The sequence below is a fragment of the Homo sapiens genome, chromosome 11 (genome assembly GCF_000001405.40).
Source record: "Homo sapiens chromosome 11, GRCh38.p14 Primary Assembly".
Taxonomy (NCBI): domain Eukaryota; kingdom Metazoa; phylum Chordata; class Mammalia; order Primates; family Hominidae; genus Homo; species Homo sapiens.
In genome coordinates, this window is record NC_000011.10 from 44,503,371 (window position 1) to 44,526,888 (window position 23,518).

Here is a 23,518-nt window from a genome sequence, read left to right on the forward strand (position 1 = left end):
TCTTCCACTTAGGGGAAAAGCTGAACGATTTGGGAAGAGGATTTCTTCATGAGCTTGGAAGGGCAAAGCTGGAAGGGGTAGCAGGAGACTGTCTCAGAATGGGGACTCTGCCTGGCACCTGGGCCGAATCTGGAGGCAGAAGATGGGAATCATAGCCCCTTACACTAGGAGGTGGGTGAGCAGAGGGACGTTTCTGTCCCTCCCCAGGGAAAGCCCAGCAAGCCTGCGTGTGTTTGTGCACACTGGCTGCATGGGGGGGTGGGGGAGTGGGGGATGGCATTGGGCTGTGCCCACATCCTCAAACGCGCAGAGCCTGGAGAAAAGTCGTGGAGTGTGGGGTCCCCACAGTCTCCCCAGGGTGTGGTGGGAGAACCCCCGGAGCCCAGGGAAACCACACCACCGCTAAGGACAGGAAGGTGGTGGCCCAAAGCAGGACCCGGCCAGGAGGTAAGGAGAATCCCAAGCTGTGAGGAGCCTGGAGGAGGCCTAGCTGCTCCCACGGTCCCAACCTGAGGGTCTGGCGGCTGAGAACAGCCATCACCATCATCACCGTCATTGGAGGATGAAAGGATGGCAGCTGCCCAGACCCGAGGAAGCCCTGCCTCCCACTTGGGCCCAGTAAAATCCTGAGAAACTCATGGCAGTGGGTGTGGCCGCGCAATACAGCATCAGCACAGGGAGGGTCCAGGGAGAAATCAGCTCATCCCGAAAAAAGAAAGAGGTCACATTGACTTACACATCTGAGTTTATCACCTGCAAAGGGTTACCCGCCTTAGGATTCTGCCTCACACTAGTGCTTCCTGCTAGGATGTGCAGTTCTGTGCACCCCTACCTTTCTTCCTACACACACACACCACACACGCACATATACCCTCCATACACTCTCCACCCCCGACACACACACCACCCCACACTCTTCATATGCTCTCCATACACACGCCCTGTCTCCACATACTCACCGCACACCCTCCATACACTACACACACACCACACACACACCAAACCACACTCTCCATACACTCTACACACACACACTACACACTCTCCATACTCTCTCCACACACACACACACTGTCTCCACAAGCACCACACACCCTCCATACACTCTACACACACACACCCTCCATACACTCTTCACACACACACATTCTCCACACACACGCCACACACACTTTCCATGCACACACACATTCTACATACACACACACTCCACACCCTCCACACACACACACCCTCTGTACACACACCCTACACATACACCTCATACACCCTGCATATACTCTTCACACACATTCTACACACACACACACCCTCCATACACACTCCCCTACACACACCATACACTCTACACACACACACCCTCCGTATACTCTTCACACACACATTCTACAGACACACACACACCCTCTGTACACACACCCTTCACATACAGCACACACACCCTCCACATGGAGACTCTGAGGCCCAAGAGGATCTCTCTGTGACCCTGTGTGAAAGGCAGAATAATACCACCTCCATATATCCCCAAGCCCTAGTCCCCAGAATCTGTGATATGCTATGTTCCATGACAAGGGAGAATTAAGGTTTGTCCTGGTCTGCTTCAGCTGCTGTAACAAAATGCCCTAGACTGGGTGGCTTAAACAACAGGCATTTATTTCTCAAGGTTCTGGAGGCTGGGAAGTCCACGGTCAAGGGGCCAGGAGGGTAGAGGTCTGGTTAGGGCTCGATTCCTGGCTTGTTGACAGGCCTCTTCACCAAGTCCTCACATGGCTGAGGCCAGAGAGAGGGCTTACTTAGCCCTTTTCCTCTTATAATGACACTAATCCCATCATGGGGGCCCCACCCTCATGACCTAATCACCTCCCGAAGGCCCCATTTCCTAATACCATTGCATTGGAGCTTCGTGCTCCAACCCATGAATTTGGAGGGACACAAACATTCAATCCATAGCAAGATTATAGAAGGAACTGGGGTTGTTAATCAGCTGACCTTGAGTTGGGGAGATTATCCTGGATTATCTGGGTGGTCCTTACAAGTGAAAGAGGGCAGTGAGAGTCGGTGTCAGAGCTGGAGAGAGATTTGAAGATGCCACGCCACCTTTGGAGATGGAGGAAGGAGCCGGAGCCACAGAACGTGGGTATCTTCCAGAAGATGCAAAAGACAAAGGAGTAGATTCTCCCCTGGAGCCTTCAGGAGGAATGTAGCCCTGCAGACACTTTGATTTTAGCCCAGCCAGACCCATTTTGGACTTCTGCCCTCCAAAACCATAAGATGATACATTGTTATTGTTTTTGGTGACTAAGCGTGTTACAGCAGCAATGAGTCTAGTGCTATCTGTTTCCTCAGCACAGCACTTTCCCTTTGCCTCCTGGCCTCTCTTCTGCTGTCTCCCACCCCACCCATTTTATCACATTGCTGTTGCTCTCCTGGTCCCCTACTACGGTTTGGATCTGTGTCCCCACCCAAATCTCATGTTGAAATGTAATCCCCAATGGTGGAGGTGTGGCGTGGTGGGAGGTGATTGGATCACAAGAGTGGTTTCTCATGGTTTAACACCATCCTTCCTTACTGCTGTCATTGAGATCGTGAGATATGGTTGTTTGAAAGTGTCTAGCACTTCCTTCCACACTTCCTCCTGCTCCGGCCTTGTGAAGTGCTCACTCCCCCTTTGCCTTCAGCCATGATTGTAAGTGTCCTAAGGCCTCCTCAGAAGCTGAGCAGATGCCACCATCATGTTTTCTGTATAGCCTGCTGAACCATGAGCCTCTTTTCTTTATAAATGACCCAGTTTCAGTTTTTTTTTATAGCAGTGTGAGAATTGACTAATATACTCCACAATCACTTTCTCTTCCTTGGACTTCTAACTCCAGCCCAGAGCAGGGGCCACTCTGAATCTTTTTTTTTTTTTTTTTTTTTTACCAGTTTTGGGCCAGGCAGCTCCCAAGTTTCAATTTCCATGGGGCAAAGTGGGAGCAAGCAGCCTGGGACAGGGGCCTGGACCCCCAGGCCTCCTTGGTCTTTTCTGGGGCGGGGGCAGTTGCTTCCACCCACCCCCCAAGCCAAGGGTGGGTGTGGAGGCCCAAGGTGGGCTAGGAGCAGGAAAGCAGGGAAGAGGCAGGGTGGATGGAGTGGGAGAGAGGCCGTCTCGAAGGTACCAGAGTGAGTCACACCTCGTAAAGCAGTGTGAACTGGAGCATGGAGAGTTACTGCCATCGGGACTTTCATGTCCTTTCAATAAAGCCTTATCAGCACCAAGCTGCATTTTTGGCTCTTAATTCCAGATGTGGCCCCAGCCGGTCCCCAGCAGGGCCTCCTTTCTCCCTGCCTTCTTTCTACACGGGCCACTCAAGGCAATGCTGGGCCAGCTGAAGGAGTGAGACATCCAAGTAGCCTAAATCAGCCTTTCAGGGCTGGGTTCTGGGTCACAGGAGCCAGACAAGCCCAGCCAGTTTAGAGGAAGGTCATGGATGCAGATTTCTGCCCCATGAGGCAGAGAGAGAGGAGGACCTGCTGGTGGCTCTGCCAAAGGTCTGGCTGAAAGACAGGGAGGTGGCCACATCCTGGGCTAATGCTGGGACACCTGGATCTTCACCCCAGCACTGTCCTTGACTCAAATGATAATCTTGGACAAGTCAGTTTGTTTTTCTAGCCTCAATAGTCTTGGCAAAACAAGGAACTTGCTCTAGCTTCTTTTGTTAATTAGTCAATAATTATCTAGAAAACCAGTAGTGCATGCTGGTTTCTGTTGTGGTCCTGGGCGATGTAGGGTGAGTGAAGAGCAGGGTCTTGTAAAGCATTCATTCCAGCAGGGAGAGGCAGACAAATCCCAATAAAACACAGAAAAGGGCAAAATAACCACAGACTGTGAGCAATGCTGTGCAACAAAGGAAAGAGGATGATACGATGGAGGGACGCTTAGAGGAGGAGTCTTCCTTAGGAAGGTGGTCAGGGGCACCTTCTCTGAAGGGGAACTTTGAGCTGAAACAAATGGGATGATGTAGAGGAAGAGCATTCCTGGCAGAAGGAGCAGTGAGTGCAAAATCCCCAGGTGGGAATAAGTTTGGAGATTCGGAGAAAGAAAAGCCCTTATAGCCTGCAAGTGTGTGAGACAGAGAGAGAGAGGAGCAGGAGGGGAGGGCGGTCTGATAGGTGGGGTCAGATTTCTTTGAATTAATTAGGACCAGTTCAGGTGCATGTCCAAAAAGTACAGAGGTATGTAGTTTGGGGCTGGTATGACATTCCAGACTGTCACATCCCCAGCTGCTTCTATGTTGCTATTCCACAGCCAAAGCATGAGGTTCATTCCTCATGGCCCAAAATGGCTGCTTGAGCTCCAGACATCAAGTCCGCTTTCCAATTATCCAGAAGGAGGAAGGAGAAAAAGAAGCCAGATTTTCTCCCTTTAAGGGCACTGCCCAGTATTTGAACACACCATTTCTGCTTACATCGTATTACCAGGAATGCTGGAAAGCATATTCTTTATTCCAGTTGGTTACATGCCCAGCTAAGAATCAGGGGTTATATTACTCAGGAGGAAAAGGAGAATAGGCATGGGGTAGACAACTGGCAACTCTGCCAGCTCCCTACAAGGCAGAGAGTTCTCATGCAGAGCCTCCCGTGCCTCATCCACCACTCACACCCACATCCAACAACAGACTCATCATTTACCCTCCAACACCAAATCTTCCTGATCTCAGGAATTAGTGACACTGTCTGGTCAGTTGCCCAAGAGAGGAATTTGATGACTCTCTACATTCCCCGCAAGAACCACATCCAATATATTACCAAGGCCTGCCCATTCAACCCCCCAAATATATCCCGTCTGTTCTCTTTATCTCTCCTGCCACTGCCCTCATGGAAAGCCCATCTGTTCCCTGGTCCTCTGCCATAGCCCACAGATTGGTCTTCCTGCTTCCTCACATCAACTCTGCACAGAGCAGCCACCAGTCTGAAGGCCACTGGCTCTGTCAGAAGTTGTTCAGTGCCTTTCAGAATAACAATAATAAAGTCCTAAATCCATGATGTGGTCCTGCAATGACCAGGCCCTGCTTTGTCTCTTGTGCACTGTCTCCAGTTCTCCAACCCCTGCTTTTTGTCTCTCCTCTCCCTTCCGCCACATTGGCCCTCTTCCTTTCCTTCTTTCTTTTTTCTTTTTCTTTTCTTTTCTTTTTTTTTTTTTTTTTGAGACAGAGTCTCCCTCTGTCGCCCAGGCTGGAGTCCGCTGGCGCGATCTCGGCTCACTGTAACCTCCGCCTCCTGGGTTCAAGAGATTCTTGTGCCTCAGCCTCCCAAGTAGCTGGGATTACAGATGTGTGCCACCAGGCCCGGCTAATTATTGTATTTTTAATAGAGACAGTTTCGCCATGTTGGCCAGGCTGGTCTCGAACTCCTGACCTCAAGCGATTCACCTGCCTCAGCCTCCCAAAGTGCTGGGTTTACAAGCGTGAGCCACCGCACCCGGCCACGCTGGCCTTCTTTCAAGTCATCAAACACTCCGTGGTCTCTCCTATCACAGGACCTTTGCACATGCACTTCTGTCTGCCAGGAATGCTCTGCTTGCCTCCTTTCTCCCCAGTAAGTCCTATTTCAGAGAGCCTCCCCTGACCTACCACTTCCACCCTAGACTCAGCCATTTGCTCCCACAGCACCCTGTACATCTCACATACAGCATTTGTCACCATTGCAATTAACTAATTGTTTAATGGCTTCTCCTGTCAGAACATAGCTCCCTGGGGTAGGGAATGTATTGTGTTCAGGAACGGGTCCTGGTCCCCGGCACAAAGGGGTGTCCAATCTTTGCTGGTTCAATGAATACATTTCACTTCTCTGTGCCTTGCTGCACACCCAGCCCTGCACCAGCCGATGCCTCTTGATCCTGAAGAATGAGACTTTTGAACATCTGGGGGGTGAGAAACTTCATGTGAATGGTGGTGCTGCATCTGTATGGGCTACTCATGGCAAGATAAGACTTACACTTCTGAAAGAGGCCTTAGAGTTTCATGAAGTGCTGGGTTCTCAGCTACATGTGGCAGAGTGCATCTCTGGGTTTTAGTAACAGGATTAAATCTCACTTGAGACCTCCAGCAGGCGGAATTCCAGAAGGCAAGAGAGAGACGGGTGATCAGGGGCTGGTGGGGAGGGGAGGAAGGAAAGCTTTCAGCAGGATTTAAAGGAAGCCAGGGTGGTTACAGACAGCTGCACAGAGGCAGGCGGTATCAGGAGCCCAGAAGCCCAACCCACAAACGAAATGTCTTTTTAGGCCTCGTTTGTGGAGGAAATCTCAAACTTTTACTATGTATATATGTTACATTATATATATATATATATATATATATAATATGTTATATATATAGTATATATGTTATATATATGTATTTTATATATATACTATATATATAGTGTGTGTGTGTGTGTGTGTGTATATATATATATATATATATATATATATATATATACTGTGTGTATATATACACATTTTTTTTTTGAGACAGAGTCTTACTCTGTCACCCAGCCTGGAATGCAGTGGCAGGATCTCGGCTCACTGCAACCTCCACCTCCCAGGTTCGAGCAATTCTCCTGCCTCAGCCTCCCAAGTAGCTGAAATTACAGGCGTGCACCACCACGCCCAGCTAATTTTTTGTGTGTTTTTAGCAGGGATGGGGTTTCACCATGGTGGTCAGGCTGGTCTCGAACTCCTGACCTCAAATGATCCACCTGCCTTGGCCTCCCAAAGTGCTGGGATTATAAGTGTGAGCCACCATGCCCGGCCTAGGATATTTTTCATTGGAACTTATATTTGATCAGTGTGGGCATGATCAGGGGACCATAGCTGTGGGCTCACCTGGGTCCCTATTGCACTGAGTGACACTGAACATGTTGCTTCCACTATCTTGGCCTGCCTCAGTTTCCCTCTCTGTAAAAAAGGAGTGGTTGAACTAGCAGATCTTGAGAGTCCTTGCAATTAGCTCTCATACTGATGAAATGCTCTCTGGAAAATGTAGGAGACCTATTTAGATGTGAATGTTACTATTAGTCAGTCTGGGCTAGGCTGTACAGTGTATAACTGACGAACCCTGACATCTCGGTGGCTTAGCACAATAATGACATATTTCTCCCTCACATAAAATCTGTTGCATCATCTGGAACACGCGTCCTCCACGTCCTGAGGCAGGGGAGAGAACGACGAAGAAGGCACTTTGGCTCTGACCGCCTCTGCCTGGAAGTACAGTTTCCATTCACGTTCTGCTGGTCAAAGGAGTCACGTGGCTCCACCCAGCCACAAGGGAGTCTGGGAGGTGGAAGGAGCCCTTGGAATATGTGGTGAGTTCCGACTGTCTCTTTCACCCTCCATGATATGATGTTGGGTTGGAAAAACCTCTACACTCATGAGTGTAACTCACCAGCATCGAGCACCTTCTACGTGTGTACCCCAAAATAGGGCCACACCCTGGACACTCTCCTTTGCTCCACTCACATTCCAGCTGACATGCAGAGACCCCAATCTCTCCTGCACACCCACCACTCCTCAGCGGAACATCCAGCACCTCAAAGACATCTGGAATCCCTCCTTCCTAGTGGGAGACATGGAACTAGCCACAGAAGGTGTCTCGCCAACTGTGGGGCATCCTTGGTATGACTAAGGGGACGTCTGTTCCCCCTTTGTCTTGAATATGGTCAAGGTAAATGGAAAAGGGGATTGGCCTTTCAACCAAAGAGAAAACATTTGAAACCTTGAACTTGCTAAGTCTGTCATTCTCGTACCACACAGCCCTCCACCCACCCATTCTGTTATTCAACAGGCATTTTATGCCAGACATTGGATGAGACTTTGGGGTGTAGAGCCCTAGAATGTACAAAGTTTTGTTGGGTGCACAAGGAGAATGGTATAAGGGTATGGCCCTTAGGGCAAGTCTAACTGGCTTTTGCTGAAACCAATAATAAGCAGGTAATCGTAATGATAATGAAGATGCTGAAGACAATGGTGATAGCTTCTGTCTCCTGAGTGGTAATTATGTGCCAGGCACTGGGTACTGTGTTTAATGTCTTACAAATATGATTGCCATTGATCTTCAAAACAACCCCAGTGAAGTCAGAGTTATTATCCCCATTTTCCCCGTTTTCTTGATAATTCAACATCCAAAGCCAGCCTACGAGTCCAGGTACAGCACAGCTGGCTGTGCCCTTTCGAGGTTTGTTCAGCAATGGTGGTAGCATCTCCAATGGATCCATTCTGCCCAGGGATTAAAGGCATCCTTCCTCACTGCGTAGCCTCTAAGCCTGCTTCTCCAGCCCCTGTCTCCTTAAATTAGCCACATTGGTTTGTGTCGCCTGCTACAAGGAACTCTGTGTAGTTGATGTCAACCAGCAGGAAAATATCCCAGCAAAAGATGAGAGGAATCCACTAGTGCCTCAAAGATGCCATCTTTTCCTTCCCCCTCTGTCTCTGCCTGAGTTCAAGGTCACACCAACTCTTCCTGGATTATTAAAATGGCCACTACATGGCCCTCCCTATGTCCACAGTTTGCTCCTTTAACCATTGTTCACACAGCTGTGAGGGGACCCTCTCTAACATAGAAATCTGACCTGTCACCCCCAGCTTCTAAGTGTCTGCAGGTCCCAGTGACCAGGAGGTCAAGGGCTCCATCCTCCACCATGCCTTTCTGGCCCTTCAGATCTGCCACTGTCTGCCTACCTCCAATCATGTCCTCTATTGGCTGCCTCTGGACAGTTCTCCAAATGTGCCATTGACACTAAGTCCTCTGAGCCTTGATTCACATGGTTCTATCCAGTAAATAGTTGTAATATTGAGCCCTGTGCTTGTCCCATCTTCATCCCCAGTACCTGGCACATATTGAGTTCTCAGTAAGAAGAACTTAACTGAATTAAGTTCAGTTAAGTTGTTGAATTAACTGAATTAAAATGAAATGGGACTCTGAGTGGTCATCTAATTCAGAGGTCTCAAATGGGTTTCCCAAAGGCTGAATTCAGCTAGCATCATTTAAAGATTTTATTTTAACTAGCTGTCAGCTTTTTCTAAAGGAAAGATTCCACATAGGAATGGATGCAACTTTCTGACTTCTCTTCTATAAGCAGAAGAGCTGCTCCTGCTTTCCTTCCCAGCCTACATTCTGCTCTGACAATAATCGCGTTGGTGGGAGCAGAGTGGCGGATGTTTCTTATAAACAGGACAAGGGTTCTCCATTTTTCTGCAGCTCCTACCCAGCTCACCTTTCTCTTTTTGGCAAAATCTGTCTTGGGCTCTTATAAGCACTAAAATTTTCAGTGCCTGAACTGTTTGAAACCTTATTTTACAAGTGGACATAGATGCCTGCTAGGGGCTTGTCCAAGTTTGCATTTGGGGGAAAGCTGGGGCTGGGACTGAGGTCCCCAGGTCCTAACTCTGGTCCACCATCTGTCACGCCATCCCCATGCATCGCTCTCCATTCGATGGAAGCGGCCCTGCAGGCCCCACACGTGCTGGAATCTCCGTTTTGGATTTGCCTTAAGCTCCTTTTGCTACAAGGTTGGGGATGTTTAGAGCCTCCTAAGTCTACATAAACTCCTCCCTATACCACCCCCAACGAGCTCCTCCGATGCCCCCTAGCTCAGCGTCCAGGGCCACATCCATCACAGACACTGGGCTGTCAGCACGGCCACGTGCCCCTCACAAAAGCCTGAATCCAGAATGGATTTATCCCGGGGGGAGCTTTGTTATGCTTTTATGTCTTCAATTCATTAGATGTTCTGTCAGCAGCATAAATCAGGACCGGACTTTCTTCTTGCACACTCGGGAACAGAAAAGACACGCAGGGAACAGATCTGAAACTCACAGAGGGCTAAACACAGAAGACCACGTTTTATCACCCCCCCATCCCATATTTATTCATTATTTTTTTAACCAAAAAGAGATCTGAGAGAGATTCCAGGCATTGGGGGAGAGTGAGGAGGGAGGATGGATGGGGAAACTGAAGTTGAAGTTATTGGTTTTCCCATAATCCTATGAGATTGTCCCTAATTTTCCTCAATTCCATAGTTTTAAAAATCCTATTATTCTTCCCTGGCACACCTAAGGGGAGTTATTTTTAAAAAAATAAACCCAATCAACCAGGCATGGTGGCTCACACCTGTAATCCCAGCACTTTGGGAGGCCGAGGCAGGCAGATCACGAGGTCAGGAGATAAAGAGACCATCCTGGCTAACACGGTGAAACCCCGTCTCTACTAAAAATAAAAAAAAATTAGCCAGGTGTTGTGGCGGGTGCCTGTAGTCCCAGCTACTTGGGAGGCTGAGGCAGGAGAATGGCGTGAACCCGGGAGGCGGAGCTTGCAGTGAGCCGAGATCACGCCACTGCACTCCAGCCTGGGTGACAGAGCAAGACTCCGCCTCAAAAAATAATAATAGTAAAATAAAATAAAAAAATAAACCCAATCACGTTAAACTCTTCAATAGCTCTCCATCACAATGGGAACAAAATCCAAACTCCCTACCGGGGGCCTGGCCCATGCCTTCCTCTCCCATTTCATCTTGCACAACTCTCTCCCTTTGCTCAATAAGTTGCAAAAACGTTTTTCATTCATTCAATGCAAGTTTAATGAGCACCTACTAGGTGCCAGGTACTTTTATAGGCCCTCAGGTAGGGTCTATAAAAGCTCTGAGGGGGCACCAGTGAATGGTACAGACAGAGCTGGTGGGAAAGGCAGATGTCTTATAAACAGGTAATTGAAGACTTCATTAATTACAGCTAGGCACAGAAGAGACTGCATTATAGGAAAGCCCACCAAGACTGAATTGTTGCCTTCCAGAGCAGAACCACATCTCTGTTCTTCAGGAAAGCCTTTTCTGATCTACAACTCACTCATTCATTCATTCATTTATTCATTGAACAAATATTCATAAAAGGTCTACTAGGGACAGTATATATAAAGTTAGTAGGGAACAAACAGACGTACATTCCTGCCTTATGAAGCTTACATTTTGGTGAAAGTGAGACAATATCCTAAATGAACAAACACATGTATAATATGTCAAATGTGACAAGTGCTATTAAAGAAGAAACCAGAGGCCAGGCCCAGTGTGGCATGCCTGTAATACCAGGTACCCAGGAGGCTGAGGCAGGAGGATCGCTGGAGCCCAGGAGTTTGAGGCCAGCCTGGATGACATGGTGAGCCCCCGTCTCTGAAAACAATTTTACAGGCCAGGCACAGTGGCTCACATCTGTAATCCCAGCACTTTGGGAGACTCAGGTAGGCAGAGAACTTGAGCCTAGGAGTTCAAGACCAGCCTGGGCAACATGGCAAAACCCCATCTGTACAAAAAAAAATACAAAAATTAGCAGGGTGTGGTAGTGCACACCTGTAGTCCCAGCTACTCAGGAGGCTGAGATGGGAAGATCGCTTGAGCTGGGGAGGTGGAGGCTGCAGTGAGCAGAGATCATGCTACTGCATTTTAGCCTGGGCAACAGAGTGAGACCCTTTCTCCAAAAAAAAAAAAAAAATTCAGATGGGGTAGACCAAGGAGGCCTCTCTTAGAAGGTATCATTTAGCCAGAGACCAGAGTGAAGTGAGGGAATGAGCCATGAGGATAAAAGGTGGAGGGGCATGAGTGCTCCAGGGAGAGATAACATTGAGTGCAGAGGCCCTGGAGTGGGAGTGAGCAGGATGTGTTCAAGCACGTGCAAGGAGACCCATGTGGTAAGCCAAGGGTGGGGTAAGAATGAAGATGGAAGAAGAGGCCAGAAGTCAACTCACGCAAGGCCTGTAGGCCATGGGAAGGGCTCTGCATGTATTCTGAGTGTGGCAGGAAGCTCTGAGGGTTTAGACCATGGGAGAGCCTGAGTGGATGCTGGGAACAATTCAGGAAATGTCCCCAGCTGGGGCAAGGAGAGACTGGAGAGGGAGGAGTGCGTGGGGATTCTTGGCATCTGGAGAATGGAGAACTGAGCTTTATGCCTTGGGTGCTTGCCTGAGGCACACACAGTAACATTCCATCTATGCTACATTTTTATATTATCATTACCTCCCTCCAGCTGTCCCTCTGTCCAGGAACCACATATCCTACTCTGTCTCTACTTCCTACACTGTTTTGGACATCTGAAAGGGTATTAGGTTCACACCAGCATGAAGTCCGACTTGATGTAATACTTTTCCAAGAATAGAGAATGCAAATGAAAGAATTTTGTTCTTTCTAACCCCAAACTTATTCCCATATCGGGCCTTTGATGCAGCTACAGCTTCGAGAATGTGGACTCTCCTTTCCCCCAGCACCTTCACCCAGAGCCTCACTATTCCATCCTTTAGAGATGTGTTGCCCCAAACTTTGCATGTTGAAGCCCTAACCCCCAGTGGGAATGCATTGGAGACAAGGCTTTTAGGAAGTAATTAAGGTTAAATGAGATCATAAGGGTGAATTCCCAATCCAATGGGATGGGTGATGTTATAAGAAGAGGAAGAGCTCTCTCTCTTTCTCTCTGGAAAGGTCATGTGAGGACAGAGTGAGAAGGTGGCTGCCTGCAAGCCAGGAAGAGAGATCTCACCAGGAACCAAATCAGCCACCACTTTGATCTTGAACTTCACGGCCTCCAGAACTCCGGACATGAGAAATAAATGTCTGTTGTTTAAGGTATTGTTTAAGATACTTAAGATACTTTGTATGGCAGCCCACGCAGGCAAAAACAAGAGGTTTCCCAACTCTTTTGATCATGTATCCCTCTCCAACAGTAAAAACATTGATGGGCATGGTAGTTCATACCTGTAATCCCAACACTTTGGGAGACCAAGGCATGAGGATTGCTTGAGCCTAGGAGTTTGAGACCAACCTGAGCAACATAGGGAGACCCTTTATCTAAAAAAAATAAAAAATTAGTCAGGTGTGATAGTGTGTGCCTGTGGCCCCAGCTACTTCAGAAGCTCAGGTAGGAGGATCACTTAAACCTAGGAGGCCTAGTCTGCAGTGAGCTATGATTGCACCACTGCACTCCAGCCTGGGCAACAGGATGAGACTCTGTCTCAAAACAAATCAAAAAACATTGAGCACACCCTCCGCCAACTGTATGCATAACTATTTATAAATTTTACATACATATGCCATATACTTTGCCATCAATCTGTGCATAAAACATCAGAGAAAATTTTGGTATCTTGTTTTTAAGATTGACAAATAACAATAAATGAAAGTTTTACTATTTTCTTCATGTACCCCATGGATTCGCTTATGCACTCCTCTTAGGAGGCATTATTTTATAACTCAATCTCTGTTATTCAGGAAAGCATTTTCTGATCTACAACTCACTCATTCATTCATTCATTTATTCATTGAACAAATATTTATAAAAGCCCTACTAAGGACAGTGTATATTAATGCATCAGATGTGGTTCTGCTCTGGAAGGCAACAATTCAGTCTTGGTGGGCCTTCCTGTAATGCAGTCTCCTCTGTGGCTAGCTGTAATTAAATAAATGTTGAATTATCTGTTTATAAGACATCTACCCTTCCCATCAGCTCTGTCTGTACCATTCACTGGTGCCCTCTTAGAACTTGGCACATAGTAGGTATTCAATAAGTAGCAAATGGATGAATGAATGAACACATGAACAAAAGAATGAATGACTGAGCTCACTTCCCCTTTTTTCTCCCCTTTCCTCAGGTCAGTCTTGCCATGAAAACATTTTGAAGCAGCCCAGGGGCCGGCAGATCGGCCAGTGGAGTGGGAGTGATGGGGGGAGATTTGTGAGCAGGGGCCAGGTTAGCAGTGGTTTTATTACATCCCATTAAGCATATGGTCATAATTATAATAAGCACATGAGTTATGGCGAGTGACATATGTTTCTTTAGAAAAAAAAGGAGAGGAGGAAGAGAAAAAGAAACACTGCAAGCCCCCAGAAGTGGCCTGGATAGGTGGCTGGGCCAAATGAGTGAGCGTGGGCCTGCCCTGCCCTGTGCTTTTTAACCCCTTCACATCCTGGGCGTGACCTGCAGAAGAGAGAGAAGGCAGCCAAGGCTGGGCTCCAGGGAGATCAGGGACTCCCAGGCACCCAGCAAGGTCTGGGGGCTTCTGAGAGGATCTTGCCCACTTCTCTGAGAGTCACCAGAGGACAGGCATGTGGTCAGCTAGTTAGTGTTCCAGTAGCCAAGACAAGACCTGGCCCAGAGCAGACATTTGGGGTGTGTGTGTGTGTGTGTGTGTGTGTGTAAAGAGAATGGAGGAGGGAGAGGAGGAAGGAGAAAAGAAAGAATAAAGAAAAAAAGAAGGGAGGGAATAAGGGAGAAGAGAGAGGGAGGTGATTAGAGCTTCTAAATGAACTTTCATTTGTTCATTCATTCAACAATCAGGTTGTTTAACGCACATGGCATGGTGCAGTGGGTGAGCCCTGGGCTGGGGTCGGGACACCTGGGTTGTTCCCTGGGCTTCTCCATTCATATCCTGTGTGGTCTTGGGTAAACCACTTTCCTTCTCTGATCCTGATTTTTCTAAGGGGCTGGTCACTCAAATCTTTCTGGGCTTGGGCTTTGTGGGGTTTGCAATCCTCTGGGTGGACAGGGACCCAGAGAAGCCTGCCTCCTGCAGGAGATGCACCAGGGATGTCTGCAGCCAACCCTCAGCCAGGAGGTTCCTAACAGATCATTTAACCAACCTCCCTCTCATCCATTTTCCAAGTGTAAAAATAGCAGCCTGGATGTCTGTGCTGCCTCCCCATGAATAAGCCAGTTCTTCTTCTGTCTTCCATGTCCCGAGGTCCAAAAGGACTATAACCAAAAATTCAAAGATACAAGCATCTTTAGCCCATCTTCCATGATCAAAGAGATCTCCATGTCTGGGAAGCAGCAGAAGACAAGGGACCCTATTCTAAGAAGCACCACCTCACCCTGGCAGCCAGACCTCTAGCCCTCGGCCCCTAGAACAGGCATCAGGGGCTGCAGAAGGAGGCTGTGGGAACTGGGGACCGTGGACACCAGAACCTGGGGGGTCAGGAGGAACCAGACCCCATCTCTGAAAATGTGCACTAGAGCCTTGTCACCTAGAGAACAGTGCTTTAACTCACTCAAGTGGTTTCACACCATCTTGGTTGATGAGGAGATGTGATTTGCTCAAAATCTCTCAGCAGCAGGTGGCAGAGCCAGGCAGGGATGCGGGTCTGCCTGAAGCCTGTGCCAGGCCAGTTCTTCCTGCCCAAGGGCCCTACCTCTGCAGAGCGGAGGCCTGGCCTGGCCTGGCCTCTAAAGGTGTGACCTGGGGCAAGTCAGGTCAGCACTCTGACACTCAATATCTTCCCCTGTAGAATGGAGACCGCCCCTCAGAGGGCTCTTGGTGGGGGTGTGGGGCTTGGGGCAGGACCAAGTTAGAGCTTCCCAGACTTTTCCCCAAGGGAGGTGGCTTTTATTATCCTGTGTTTTGAAAGATTTCTATCTCTTGAACAAACTTTGTTTTAAAGTAATAATTAATTTATTTCCCCCTTCTTATTCCTCAAAGACACAGGTGGTCATCCTCTGAGAGATGACTGTGGCTTCCATGCTTGGCTGTCAGAATTCCAGTCGCCTCCAAGATGGAAGACTCTGCCCAGCCTGGATTCCTTGACCACAGGCAAAATATGTCTGGTCTGCGAGGGCCCCTGAACTGTTGAGATGACAAGATTAAACCCAGAAGGCCATCTGCCCTCTGAGGACCCCATGCCAAGCACCCCTGAGAGGGTGATGGTGATCATAAATGAAGCTGTGGGCCTTCATGGAGCTCCCTGACAGACCCACATGGCTCCTGGAAGTTTGCATGTGTGACCTGGAGGGCTCTGGCACTTGTGCTCATTTTGCAGAAGAGGAACTGTGACTAAGACATCAACGATTCCCCCCAAGCTGGGAGGTGGCAGAGTCAGGGCTTCAGTTCTATCTGATTCCAGAACGACCCTTCTGTTGTAGTCAGCTTGGCCTGGCTTAACAAGACACCACAGGGTGGGTGGCTTAAACAACAGACATTTATTGCTCCTAGTTCTGGAAGCTAGAAGTCCAAGATCAAAGTGCCGGCAGATTATGTTCCTGGTGAGGGCTCTCTTCCTGGCTACCTTCTCACTGTGTTCTCAAGTGGCAAGGAGAGAGACAGAGAGGTGTAACTCTGGTGTTTCTTCCTTTCCTTATAAGGACGTGAATCCCAAGATGGGGGTTCCACCCTCATGACCACATCTCAACCTAATTACCTCTCAAACACCCCACCTCTAAAACCTTCACATTGGAGGTTAGGGCTTCAACATGTAAATTTGGGGGGAACACAAACATTCAATGCATAACATGCCCAAAACCCCAACACTAATCTCCCCCTTCCCATGACTGAGTCCAGCAAGGCCTCCGTGAGTGGATCCTTGCCCTGGAGGACTTTGCAGTGTAGCAGAGAATGCTGGACGAAAATTGATCTGACCAAACTTGCAAGGCAGCCATGCAAAGGCCCCAGGAGGCCTCGCAGGATTTGGCCAAAGATTGGCCACTGGTCCTGCATCAGAGCCAGACAGCCAGGAGAACTCTGAGCTTCCCTCTCTGTGCCTCAGTTTCCACCGCTACAGAGCACGGACACTGATGCCTCAAAGGGCTGCTGAAAGCCTTCCAAGAAAACAGCAGAGGTCAAAACGCCCAGCGACCTGCGACTGAAACAAATCCGCCCTCGGGCTGCAGGCCTTCTCTGTGCGTTGCCAGGTGGGGGCGGGAAAGGAAACGGAGGAGGATCGCATTCTGGGGGCCTGTCCCGGGAACTGGGGCCGCCCCGCAGAGTGATGGCCACAGTGGGACGAACCTCCAGATAAATAAGAACAGTCCGCGTGAGCCGGGCTCATCTTAACACTAAGCAGAGGGGCCTGGGGCCGGACTTGAAAGCTGCCGGCTGAGATGGATGGGCTGCTGCCGAGGCGGGGGCAGCTGGGCGCGGGGAATGAGTGATGGGGTGTCGGGGCGCTCAGTCACCGCCAGCCAGAGATGCCGGCCTCTGTCCGGCCGCCGGGACATGTGCAGGGCCGCCGCCCCTCCCACGGCCCTGCGGGGGATTTATGGCTTCGTTAAAGGCCCGGAGAGGGGCTGAGGCCAGGCCTGCGGTGGGAGGGTTGGATGTCGGCCTGGCTGCCCCTGCTGGATTTCCGCCCTGAGCAGTGGAGGGGAAACCAGGCCGGGCCCCACAGGGCAGTGTGGCTAGGGGTCAGGCACAGAGGGGCGTGAGGCCTGGCCTCCTTCCTTAGGTTGGCTGGCCCCGAAGGACGCCTGGGTGGAGGGTGCTGGCATCTCCCAGTGACCCCCTGTACCGGCCCCACCCTTGGCTCTTGGTCTGTGTTTATACCTTGGCGCCTTCGCAGCTCCGCTTGCTTTTTCCAGCTGCCTTGCTTTTCCCCACACAGGTCCTTCTGCCTGGAGTGCCCGGTGCCTTGCAGAGCTCCCACCCTTCCTTGTTGCCTTGGCGCCTGTGCCACCGCTGTTGGAAGGCTTCCTTTGACACTCCTGCTCCATCCTGGCAGTGCGGGGCTCCCTCATCAGGGCCCTGCTTTTCTCCTTGTCCATCAAGGCAGGGATCCCCCTTATTCTTCGTCTTTAACCTGTGATATTAACTAAACCATTTATTGCGCTCTACTATGAGCCAGGGGCTGTGCTCAGCATTTCAGTATTTTATTACTGACTGTGTTCATCCATTCATTTCATAGACAGGAAAACTGAGCCTTGGAGAATCACTTGCTAGGATTCAAACCAAGGTCTGTCTGATTCCAAAATACAAAAGTGCTTGTCAAGTCCGTGAAGCACCAGCCTTGGGGAAAATCAGCAAACATGGAACAAGTTTTCTCTTTTTCCCTTGCTACTGTTTTTCTGAGTCTGGCATCCCATAGATTCAGTGATATGACTTCACATATGCACAGTAATGGGACTTCACATATGTCCTCTGATTTGATCCTTATAGCAATTTGGTGAGGTCAGCCTTATGATGATCAACCCATTTTACAGAGTGGAAAAACTGAGATCCAAAGAAGGGACATGCCCCGCCAGGGTCACAGCCAGCAGGTGGCTGAGCCAGGGTTCTAGGATGTCCCACACTCTTTCCAAGGCCCCTCAGCTCTTCTCACACCTCCTCTCTCTCAGCTAGGTCTCAGCTCTGGAGGGCGGACCTAGGGAATGCTGAGACCCTGCAGGTGGACTTTTGATCCTTCTCACTGGGGGAGCACAGGAGCCTTCAGGCATGAAACTCTTGGGTCATCCATGAGCCTCCCTAAAGCCCAGGCCCTCGCTAACACCCACTCCACTGACCTCGCTCCAGGAGAGATCCTTTCCTTTGGTAGGATAAAGCCCCTGGCTCCCAAGTCACCCTGGCCTCCTACCCCTCTACATCCTTTTGTGCTGGGGTTGAGGTCCCTGCCTGCCTGGACCTGCAGCTCTGGAGTTGGCACAGCTGTTAGTCAGGAAGCAGCCTTCTCCCACCACCTCAGCCTCCCTGATGGGTACTCTGGCTCAAATAAGAGTGTGGACAACAGCTGGGCGTGGTGGCTCACACCTGTAATTCCAGCACTTTGGGAGGCCGAGGTGGGTGGATCATGAGGTCAGGAGTTTGAGACCAGCCTGGCCAATATGGTGAAACCCTGCCTCTATTAAAAACACAAAAATTAGCCGGGTGTGGTGGCACGCACCTGTAGTCCCAGCTACTCGGGAGGCTGAGGCAGAAGAATCGCTTGAACCCAGGAGGCGGAGGTTGCAGTGAGCCGAGATTGCACCACTGCACTCCAGCCTGGGTGACAGAGCGAGACTCAGTCTCAAAAAAAAAAAAAAAAAAAGTGTGGACTACAGACAGTCCATCGAGGCTGGCTGTCTGGGGAGGAATTGGAGCAATGCAAACTGGATGCCTTTTTGCCCTCCACGTCCTCACAGCCCCACTGCCTTCTGGGTCTCTTAATCATCTATTTTGGGTCCAGATTTTTTAACCAGTTGAGATTCTTAACACCTGTCCCAAAGGATCGGTCAAGCTCCCCATTAATTCCCTATTTAGGAGGAAAGGGAGGCTTTGAGGAGGAGATTGACATGTCTGCAACTGTTGTGGAGCACAGGACTAGAGTTAGCACTTGAGCCTGCAAAGATTTTTCTGCCTCCATCATTCATTCATTCATTCATTTATTCACTCACTCATTTACTCACCTACTGTGTGCAAGGCCCGTTTGTTGAGCACCTACTATGTGCAAAAGCAATGTTCTAGGCATTGGAATACCTTCATGAACAAGACTGGCAAATATTTTGTCTTCAGCTATAGCCCAGTAGAAAAGACAGGCATGAGACAGAAGTTCAGAGAATAATTAAGGCATGCTATGACAAATCACTTTGCTCACATCTCTGCTCAAATGTCACCTCTTCTGAGTGACCTTTCCGGACCCCCATGTCTAAAATACCACCCCATCAATCTCCATCCCCTTTCCTGATTTTTCAAAAAGTAGGAGTATGAGTATTTGGTACAAGGTTATGCATTTCTTTGTTTTCCTGTCTTCCCCACTAGACAGTGCACACCACGAGGGTGGGAGTTGTGACCCCTTTGTGCTCTGTCTCCAGCACCTGACTTACCATGTGCTCTGAGTAGATACTTACTGAATGAAACATGAATGAATGAATGAATGCTACAAAGAAGATATACAGGTGCTCTGGGAGGAAAAACAGGGAAACCCAGCCTAGCCTGGAGTTCAGGGGGAGGTAACCCCCAAAGCAGGAGCTAACTTCAGACTGAGCTCCAAAGCAGGCCAGGACACTAGAAAAGAGGCAGGAAGTCTGGGCGCGGTGGCTCACGTCAGTAATCCCAGCACTTTGGTAGTCCAAGGTAGGCAGATCACGAGGTCAGGAGTTCAAGACCAGCCTGGCCAATATGGTGAAACCCCGTCTCTACTAAAAATACAAAAAAACTAGCCAGGCATGATGGTGTGCGCCTGTAGTCCTAGCTACTCGGGAGGCTGAGGCAGGAGAATTTCTTGAACCCAGGAGGCGAAGGTTGCAGTGAGCCAAGATTGAGCCACTGCACTCCAGCCTGGGCAATAGAGGAAGACTCCGTATCAAAAAAAAAAAAAAAAAGAAGAAGAAGAAAGAAGAAGAAGAAGAAGAAGAAGAAGAAGGAGAAGGAGAAGGAGAAGGAGAAGGAGAAGGAGAAGGAGAAGGAGAAGGAGAAGGAGAAGGAGAAGAAGAAGAAGAAGAAGAAGAAGAAGAAGAAGAGGCAGGAAGAGCATTTCAGGCAGAGGAACCACAGCATGCGCAGAGCCCAGGATATCGACGATCTACAAAGGTCCCCTATCTGCAAAGCTTCCCCTACAGGACAGTCACAGGCAGCTGCCTTGAGGGCACACCAGGGGGAGCCAGCAAGCCTTTGATGGCACCGCAAAAGAGGCTCCAGATCCTCGGATTAAAATTCTGGCTATGTGATCTTCGGCAAGCTCTTTAACTTCCCTTAGTTAGCCTCTTTTCTCATTTGTAAAATGGAGATGAGAGTGACACCTACCTTGAGGGGTTACTGTAAGGACACAGAATGACAACTTCAAGTTTTTTAGATGAGAGCCTGATCCGTGGTGAGACTTTAACAAATGCTGGTGGCCGGGTGCAGTGGCTCATGCCTGTAATCCCAGCACTTCGGTAGGCCGAGGCAGGAGGATTGCTTGAGGCCAGGAGTCCCAGACAAGCCTAAATAACATGAGATCCTGTCTGTACAAAAAATTGGAAAATTAGCCAGGTGTGGTGGCATATGCCTGTGGTCCCAGCTACTCAGGAGGCTGAAGTAGGAGGTTTGCTTGAAACCAGGAGTTCAAGGCTGCAGCAAGTCATTGATTGTGTCACTGCACTCCAGCCCGGGTGATAGAGTAAGACCCTGTCACTAAAAAAGTTAAAAAAAAAAAAAAAAAAAGCTGGCTATGTTAGCACAGTGCTGCCTCTCCTCACCCACTAGAAAATTTAGGCCAAGGTAATCGGGCTGTCACAGAAGCAATATTCTCAGCTGGCTTTAATCTAGGAACGGTGGGGTGGAAAATAAAAAAGACTCCCAGTCCCTTGAGCAAAGCAGTTGCCTCAGCCTCAGTATCCCCATCTGCTCAAGGAGGCCTCGGCCGGCTTCTCCGTGTGGCCGAGTTTCCCTCTCACGGCCTGTTCCCAGCCAAGCTTCCAGTTCCCTGAGGTTTTCACTTCCTGTCAGAGACCTCAGGGCCTTACACATCCAGGCCTTCACCTCCTGCACGGATATTTTGCACTTTCCACCTTCCCCCAGCCCAGATGTCCTGGAGTCCTGCCTCCCCGGCTCCCTCTGGGCCTGCTCTCTGTCCCTGCCTGGCCACCACCTAGCCAGCAAGCTGTTGGTGTCTCCCCAGGCACGCAGCGCCTGGTGCAGGGGCTACACTGCCCTGAAAACCCCCAGGATACCAAGCACCCCCGAACTCCACCCATCTGTGATGACTTCAGCAGAAAGTCCTGCCCATACTTGTGGAAATTAGTGTGTGTGTGTGTCGGGGGCGGGGGTTGGGGGCTAATCTTAGAGAGGGCCCTATTTGCCCCTCGCTGCACACCACAGGGAAGACATGCTCCAGGTAAGTGCACGTTTTCACACATACTCTCGAGTGCACGTGGGCTCGAAAGGGCTGGAAAAGCTTCCCCCTGGACAGAGCTAGTCTCAGAAACTCAGGACGTGGGAAGGGGGTCACTGAGGGGGAGGCTCTGGCACTGGGCCCAGCACTGTGGTTTCTGATGCTGCCTCAGCCGCCAATTGGAAGGAAGCTTGGGAGGAGGAGGAGGAAGCGCTGAGTGTGCAAATGAGCAGTGACATGGGAAATCTCACAGGGCAGAGGCAGCCTTCAGGATCTACACCAGGACGAGGTGACCTGGTTTCCCCTGGCTTGGTGGCCCTGGAGGAGTCACTGTGCTTCTCTAGGCTGATTCCCTCTTCTGCAAAATGTCAGTCCCAGACAGTAGGCAGCAAAGAGTGGGTAGACCCGAGTCCCAGTCACAGCCAGTCTCCCCGGGATCCTGAGGCTGCAACAGAGGGTGCTCCTCGCTGGGCCTCCATGTCCTCATCTACAAAATGGGGACAGTGACCCTGATCTTGCAGGATTGCCCCAAGGTTGAGAAATGGTGTACACAGAGCATCAGACACACTACCTCTTAGATACATCCCTTCCTCGAGGTGCCTGCCAGGCCCCAAGTGAGATCAAGCCTCCTCTCTAGGGTCTTCCCTCACCGACAGTGGCCTTCACAGCACTGGGTGCTGTCTGAACTTTTATGCATATTCATGGGATGATTTGACAAACGTCCCTTTCCGCACTAGATTGTAAGCTCCTTGAAGGCAGGGATCCCAGCCTGGCACATAGTAGGGGCTTCTCTTAGTCAAGATCCAGCTAGGAAACCAGAACTCAAGTCAGGTATTTCAACAGAGGGCATGTGATATAGGGAGCTAGTTCGGAAGGTGTTGGAGGAGCTGAAAGGCCTGACCGGGGATGGTGAGCCACCCACCGACAAGCAGCGGCAGGCAGCTGTGACAACCTGGGACTCCAGAGACCGGGGAGGAAGTGCCGATACCCAAAGCCTGGGAACCAGACTAGGTGTGGGACACCGGAACCACAGTCAGGCAGGGGGCTGCCCATGGGAGCTGGAACCCTGGCGGTGACCCAACCACTTCCCAAGTTGCCACTAAAGCAGAGAGAAATGAGGAGGAAGACCCTGGCTCCTCCCTTCCGCCCCGCCCGCTGATCTCCATCCAGTTCTTCCCATTGGCCAAGACTAACAGGAAGCCGGCGGGCAAAGGAGCCTGGGAAATATATCAACAGTTGGCAGGAGTCAGCCCCGAGACACAGGGGAGGGCCAGGGAAAAGTAGAGGATCCATCCGTTCGCTTTCTGAGAGGGAAGGACAAATGGCAGTCCCAGGGCTCCCCTTATTTACTGGTTCACAAATGCCTACAGCATTTACGAGGCACACAGGGCAATGTTCTGAGCTTTTGACGAATGAGCAGCAGGAGTTCAGTAAATGATACCCGTCCTTGTTGATGGTGCTTTTGTTTTTGTGGTCAGACGCGTTCCAAGGGGCTCAGACCTGCTGTGATTCTGAGATTTTTCTGTCTCTGACCCCAAGATCCTCACCCCAACCCTGGCCTTTTTGGGCTCAGGGAGCCCAGACCCACCCCCTTCTCCAGGCCCTGCTGAGAGTAGGGGGAGGAAGGGCAGAGGATGCAGCCCCCCGGGCCTGAGCCCCTGCAGAGCCCCTCCATCTCTGCCCCGGGCTCCGTGGGGAGCAGGCTCTCCCTCTCCCCGCCTGTCAGTCAAACCCTGCCGCTTGGAAGTTCAAGCGTGGCCAAAAGGAAGCAGATTTCAAAACACACCTCTGCTCGACCCGCTTTCCTCCCCGCCCCCTCATCCGAGCTGACCCAGGCTCTCTGGGGGCTCCCTTGCCCCAGGCCTATCCCAGACAGAGCTGAAACCATAAGGATCTGGGGTAGACGTCGGGTGGGGTGTGGGGAGCAATAAGGGGAGCCAGCAAAGGCTCCCCCAGCAGCCTCGGCCCACCCCTGTCTGAG

General features: G+C 50.1%; 2 long non-coding RNA genes across 6 annotated transcripts; one reads left to right on the plus strand and one right to left on the minus strand.

Annotated features, from left to right (window-relative positions):
- Window positions 1-6,741: 6,741 nt before the first annotated feature.
- LOC105376645 (uncharacterized) lies at window positions 6,742-13,800 on the plus strand. Its single transcript, XR_931229.1, has 3 exons — window positions 6,742-7,320; window positions 12,475-12,618; window positions 13,641-13,800. It is a non-coding gene; the product is annotated as an uncharacterized LOC105376645 (long non-coding RNA).
- Window positions 13,801-15,456: 1,656 nt separating this feature from the next.
- Window positions 15,457-22,696, minus strand: LOC105376646 (uncharacterized). Of its 5 annotated transcripts, none has more exons than XR_931232.1 (5): window positions 22,109-22,696; window positions 20,469-20,668; window positions 19,133-19,238; window positions 17,301-17,565; window positions 15,457-15,608 (listed from the first exon to the last, which is right to left on the minus strand). It is a non-coding gene; the product is annotated as an uncharacterized LOC105376646 (long non-coding RNA). The 5 variants fall into 5 exon arrangements; XR_931230.1 differs by lacking the exon at window positions 15,457-15,608 and adding an exon at window positions 16,027-16,061; XR_001748202.2 differs by lacking the exon at window positions 15,457-15,608 and having other exon boundaries at window positions 16,076-17,565; window positions 22,109-22,344; window positions 22,460-22,696.
- Between the last annotated feature and the right edge of the window lie 822 nt (window positions 22,697-23,518).